Source organism: Homo sapiens, chromosome 16, assembly GCF_000001405.40.
Source record: "Homo sapiens chromosome 16, GRCh38.p14 Primary Assembly".
NCBI lineage: Eukaryota > Metazoa > Chordata > Mammalia > Primates > Hominidae > Homo > Homo sapiens.
Genome location: NC_000016.10, coordinates 26,276,335 through 26,283,098, shown reverse-complemented (window position 1 = coordinate 26,283,098; position 6,764 = coordinate 26,276,335). Strand labels below are relative to the sequence as shown.

Below are 6,764 nucleotides of genomic sequence, written 5' to 3'. Positions count from 1 at the left end.
TTCCATAGAGTGATATTAGATCAGTATATTGTAGCTAATTGGGACAGAACCTTGAGGTGTAAAGGTACGTTTTAGACGTGGTTAATATCTACAATAAGGTGACTTTAAGGAAAGCAGATGACTCTTCATAATATGGGTGGGCCTCATCCAGTCAGTTGAAGGCCTTAACAGCAAAGACTGAGGTTTCTCAATGGAGAAAGAATTCTGGCTTCAGACTGCACCACAGAAATCCTGCCCGAGTTTCCAGCCTTTGGACTCAAGACCTCAGCTTTTATGTGAATCTCCAGCCTACCAGCTTGCCCTACAGATTTCAGACTTGCTAGCCCCCACAATCATGTAAGCCAATTTTTAATGTAAATTTCTCTCTCTGTCTCCACACACACACACAGACATGCGCACACACACAGACACACACACACACCCCCTTGGAGATCCCTAACACACCAACTCAAACTGACTTATAGTCAAACAACATCACAAGCTAACACAAAGCTTAGAGCTTAAAACAAATTGATTGCATTGTACTAGCAATATGGAGGAGGGTTTCAAGCAGTACATGATCCAGGGGCTAAAAATAAGACCAGAAAGGTTCATTATTACCCATTTCTTGCCTCTGATTTCTAATTGTAGATTCATCATCAAGCTCTACAAGATGGCCTTTGGCAGCTAACCAAGCTCACATCCTCCCAAGTTCAAGTGCAAAAGTGAAGATAGCATCTCACCCACAAAGGTTCAAGTAATTGTCATGGGCCTGAAGGCCTCTGCCTCCAATTAATCCCATGCCCATCCCTGAACTAATGGCTGTGGTCAGAGAATGGGACGTACTGATTTCCTCACCCATGGGTCTGAAGGTTAAGAGAATTAGGTACTCCTCCAAAGAAACAAAATGCATTCAGGGTATTTTTATCAGAATAGGATGAGAGGGTTTGAGATGGGAATAGCAGAGCTCCACTACAGTAGTACTTCTGAAACATTCATGTGCAAAAGAAGCACCTGGGAGTTGGTTCAGACAAAGCCTCTGATTCATTAGATCCGGGATGAGGCTTGGAATTCTGCATCTGTAACAAACTCCAGGTGATTCTGATACTGCTGGTCTATAGTGTCCACACTTTGAGTACTGTGACATTATATCACATATTCCAGAGGTTAGCTGAAAACCATTCCTAATTACAGTAAGCGGTCAGACCAAATTGGGGGGATTGGTTTTCTGCCTCAACATAGCATTTTATCAGCATTACTCATCACTGTAACAAGGCCTTGGTTTTCACATCCGGAGGGAGCCCAGTCTCTTCCTTGCCTGCTGGAGGCATGGACAGGAAAACGGTCAGATACATACATCATGTAGCATGAGTCCCTGGGCCCGCTCAGTATTGCCCAGGGTAAGTGAGGACAGATAAAGATGTCGCTGCTACCTGAACACCTTTGTATGGAAGTCTGCATTCCTCAAGATTTACAGAATTCACGGAATGGATCAGAGAAACAGCCCAGAGCTGCTGTTTGTATTCTATCAGTGAGATTCACTGGAGAAAACCAGAGGTCAAGGTAGAGTCATATAATTTCATGGTTGAAGACTTTAGCCCATACTGCATACATCTCAGATAAGGTGTTTATTGCTGTAGGGGAAATTTGAACTTTGTGGGACAAAGGAGACCAAAGTCTTTTACTTTTTAAATACCATGTTAGTCTTTCAGCCAAAAGCTTGCAGTCAGGCTTCCGTGTCTGGGTTTTAAAGAGTGCAGGATTTGGGAGGCATCTGACATGAGAGAATCATTGAGCCTTACAGAAAATGTCTACAATTGGATCAACTGTTCCAAGGTATATGCCAGACAATCAATAGCTGATTCCATCAGGATTTTACCTATAACAAGGGATAATTTTATTTCTAACCATTAGAGGAATTTGATTTTTTTTTACATAGTTCATCTAATTCTCAGATATTGACTACAATGATTGTCAAACATAAATAAAATAAACATGCAAAAGAACTTGTTATTCTTAAAAGAAGTGGTGATTTAGATCACAGGATGCTGATATGACTTGTCATAGTAGTTTCTCACCACTTTTTGCAGAAAGATAAAAATATAACACAGACTGGTAAAGAGACCATGGTCTGGGGGTAGTGGCAGAGGGTCCAAACTATATATCCCAACTTCCTTGTACATATAAAATAAATTTTCCCTGTAAAATAAATTTAAAATGACGGCAGCTTATTCTAAAGTTTTTTTACTCAATTCCATTCAGTTACTTGTTTTTTGAAATTTATCCATGTTTTCATTTCTTGATTTCCAAGAGGAAAACACCTCTACAATAAAAGAATAAATAGTCAGAAACATGTGAGTATATTCCTTGCTTGAATATACTTCCCACAAGGGCAGAGAAAGTCTGTCTTGGTCAACATGGATATCTGTCACCTAGCACAGTGCCTGGAGGATACATTGATCATATTGTTAAATAAGTGATATATTAGACTATTGGATTATATAGTTAAAAAGACATAATTTTCCTCTCTGTTTTATTTCTTCTAGGAAAGACAGAATTGTATAACGAAATAAAAATGTGTATGCATAGGAACAGAGGCTTAAAAGTGACTGATGTGTTTCAAAGCAGGCAAAGATTTTGATACAAATAAAGTACTGAAATGCATGGTGGGGAATGGTGAGAGGTAAGTATGGAAAGGAAGGAGGGAAAAGATTATGATGTGTATTTGTCACATCCCTTTAAATGGCACCTGGCAAATTATAATTCAAGTTGGTTTAAGCATAAATTATATTGGCACATGGAAAAGTCAAGAATATTGGGATTCAGGCATGGCTAGATCTAGGTGTCCCAATGATAGAATCAGGAATCTGTCTCCTTATGTATTTTGGCACAACTTTTTCCAAGTTGTTTTAATTTTCATTCAAGCTGTCTGCCAGAGGTACAAGAGTGGACATCAGCAGCCTCAAACTTACATCTTCCTAGTTGAAGAACTCCAATGGAAACTGATACCTGTGACATGTTCTGAAGATGGCAGATAGGAGGCAGGACTAGCTTGCAGCTCCTGCTCGGACAGACGGAGCAGCTTGTGGAGACTCACACTGTGAACTTTTGCTCAAGGAACTACCACGGCAACATACCAGGAAAGCTGAGAGAATCCACAGATGCTCTGAAGGAACTGTGTAGCTTCCACAGTTTCCCTGAGATGCTAAAAAAACTGTAAGGTCTGATTGCTTTCTCAGTGGGGAGGCTGGTGGTCTGGAACAAGTTCTCAGCCCTGGCCACCAGCTGCCTGGAAATAGACTTGGTACTGTTGGGGGGCACAGTGGGAGTGATACTGGCCTTTAGGACTGTGTGTTGCATGGGAGCATGGTGAGGCCTGTGACTGCCAGCTTTCCCCCACTTCCCTGGCCACCTTTATGAATCAGCAGAGGCAGCCATAATCCTCCTGGAAACATAACTCCATTGGCTGGGGAATCACACCCCTATCCCCCGCAGCAGCCGCAGCAAGCCCCGCCCAAGGAGAGTCTGAGCTCAGACACACCTAGCTCTGGGCCTACCCTTTCTCTACCCACCCTGGGTGCGCAAGACAAAAGATATAATTTCTTGGGAGTTCTATGGCCCTGCCTACCACCTGAGAAACCTGAATATGTAACCAGGTAACCCTAGGGCGAGTTTGCTTCCTACCAATAGTACCACAGCGGATGTACTCTTGAAAGTCCGATCAACACAAAACCAGTGCACCGAACAAAAATACAACCAAAGACCCTCACAGAGTCCACTTCACTCCCCTGCTACCTCCACCAGAGCAGGTCCTGGTTTCCATGGCTGAGAGACCTGAAGATGGATCACATCACAGAACTCTTTGCAGACACTCCCCAGTACCAGCCCAGAGCCAGGTAGCTCCACTGGGTGGCTAGGCCCAGAAGAGCAAAAACAATCACTGCAGTTCAGCTCTCAGGAAGCCTCATTCCTAGCGGAAGGGGGAGAACACCACATCAAGGGAACACCCTTTGGGACAAAAGAATCTGAACAGCAGCCTTTGAGTACAAGATCTTTCCTCTGACATAGTCTACCCAAATGAGTAGGAAACAGAAAAACAATTCTGGTAATATGACAGAACAAGGTTCTTTAACACCCCCAAAGGATCACACCAGCCCACAAGCAATGGATCCAAACCAAGACAAAAATCTCTAAATTGCCAGAAAAAGAATTCAGAAGGTTGATGATTAAGCCAATCAAGGAGATACCAGAGAAAGGTGAACTCCAACTTAAAGAAATCAAAAACATGACACAGGATATGAAAGGAATATTCTTCAGTGAAATGGATAGCATAAGTAAAAAACAGTCACAACTTCTGGAAATCGAGGACACCCTTATAGAAATGCAAAATGCACTGGAAAGTCTCAGCAATAGAATCAAACAAGCAGAAGAAAAAACTTCAGAGCTTGAAGACAAGGCTTTTGAATTAACTCAATCCATCAAAGACAGAGAAAAAAAGAATTCAAAAAAAAAATGAAGAAAGCCTCCAAGAAGTTTGGGACTATGTTAGGCATCCAAACCTAAGAATAATTGCTGTTCCCGCGAGGAAGAAGAGAAATATAAAAGTCTGGAAAGCATATCTGAGGGAATAATTGAGAAAAACTTCCCTGGCCTTGCTAGAGATCTAGATATCCGAATACAAGAAACCCAAAGAACACCTGGGAAATTCATTGCAAAAAGATCATTGCCTAGGCACATAGTCATCAGCTTATCTAAAGTTAAGACAAAGGAAAGAATCTTAAGAGCTGTGAGGCAAAAGCATTAGGTAACCTGTAAGGGAAAATGTATCAGAGTAACAGCAGATTTCTCAGCAGAAATCCTACAAGCTAGAAGGGATTGGAGTCCTATTTTTAGCCTCCTTAAAAAAAAACAGGATCAAGCCCTTGTTGTCTGCAGTGATGACAAGCTCAGTGTTTTCTCTCCTTCCCTCTTTTATTCTCCCCGTTCTTTTACTCCTGTGCTCTAAATCACCTCCTACCTGAAACTACCTGATTTCTAGGGGTTTGGAGAGCCCATATAAAATGATAGGTGAATGTGATAGTCTGAGCGGTTCTGAGAGCCTGAACTAAGGCAATGACAGTTTGAATTAAGAAGCAGAGAAATGTTTATGCAAAAGATAAATGGTGGGGCAGGGTAATTGAGCTTGAAAAGAATGTGAGATTTTATATACACCTGATTTATCCAGGAAATCAGTGGAACTCAGAGGAAACCCAATGACAAGAATGAGCATTTTACCTATATATGCAACTAACTGCCTCTCTCCAAGAGCCTTGGAAGATGGCCATCTTGTGAGGAAGCCTCCAGCCAATATCCAGTATCAACCACCACATATGTGAGTAAATGAGCTGACAGGTGATTTCAGGCCCTGGCCTTAGAGTCTTTCAAGTGAGGACATAGATAAAATGATGCCAAGACAAGCCATCCCATATATATAGTGTTTCTTGTATCTAGGACCCATAATTATCAAAAGCTAATGTTTCAGTTTTCTGGACATTTAAATTGTGGAGGAAATAATCTAGATTACTTTTTAAATGCTAAACTGATGGTTTACCAATTATCCTAGGACATTAAACAAGCCACCTTTCATACGCTGATATGGAAGGTAACAAGATGGAGAAATTCAGATGGCATGGTGGGGATGGTTTGTCTTCGCATCATTTTATCTATGTCCTCACCTGGAAGACTGTAAGGCCAGGGCCTGAAAACACGTGTCAGCTCATTTACTCACATATGTGGTGGTTGATACTGGATATTGGCTGGAGGCTTCCTCACAAGATGGCTGTGTTCCAAGGCTCTTGGACAGAGGCAGCAGGGCATGCAGTGTTGTTCTGTTGGTCTAGGCAGTCACAAAACTTTTCTTGTGTTTAAGTGACTGGATCACAGACCCCATATTTTGATGGAGGTTTATCAACATCACATCAGTTTTTATTGCTGCTGTAACAAATTAGCACAAATTTAGCAACCTAAAGCAACATATCTTTAATCTCACAGATAATGCTCTCTGGTAGAAATATAATACAAGCTCCACACGCAATTTTAGATTTTCTAACAGGCACATTTAAGAAAGTTAAAAGACACAAGGAAAAATAACGTTAATAATATTTTAACACTATACAGCTCAAATCTTATCATTCCAACATGAAATCAATATGAAAATTGAGATATTATGTATTTTCTGTAGCAAATCTTCAAAATTTATTGCGTATTTTTCACTAACAGCACATCTTAATTTGGTTATTGTTGGTTTTTTTTGTTTTGTTTTGTTTTGTTTTTGAGTAGGGGCAGGGTTTGAGACAGGGTCTTGCTCTGTTGCCCAGGCTGGAGTGAAATGGTGTGATCATGGATCCCTGCAGCCTTGACCTCTCTCGCTCAAATGATCCTCCCACCTCATCCTCCTCAGTAGCTGGGACTACAGGCACATGCCACCATGTCAGGCTAATTTTTGTATCTGTTGTAGAGATAGGGTTTTGCTGTGTCATCCAGGCTGATCTCAAACTCTTGGGCTCCCGTGATTCATCCACTTTTGCATCTCAAAGTGCTGGTATTACAAGTGTGAACCACTGCACATGCCACATCTTAATTTGGATTAGTGGCAATCAGATTGTGTAGCTAAACCACGTGTTTGAAATTATTCCGGTAGTAGCCTTTAAAAATCTAAATAATAGGCTGATATCACACATACCTTCAAATGCCAAAATCTTCCCCACCGCCCATGTTTTTTGGTGTGCAATTTTAGAGATAAGAGA

The 6,764-nt window shown here is 41.3% G+C and overlaps 1 long non-coding RNA gene across 1 annotated transcript, besides 1 other annotated feature; it reads left to right on the top strand.

Annotated features, from left to right (window-relative positions):
• Positions 1–203: 203 nt before the first annotated feature.
• On the top strand, positions 204–2,613 carry LOC105371150 (uncharacterized). The gene is made up of 3 exons (XR_001752324.2): positions 204–336; positions 631–736; positions 2,526–2,613. It is a non-coding gene; the product is annotated as an uncharacterized LOC105371150 (long non-coding RNA).
• Positions 3,408–3,909: an enhancer, noted in NCBI's record as "H3K27ac hESC enhancer chr16:26290511-26291012 (GRCh37/hg19 assembly coordinates)". NCBI's record gives its function as "activates a minimal SCP1, AML or CMV promoter by ChIP-STARR-seq in naive H9 embryonic stem cells {active_cell/tissue: H9 hESC(naive)}" and the evidence as "EXISTENCE:reporter gene assay evidence [ECO:0000049][PMID:30033119]".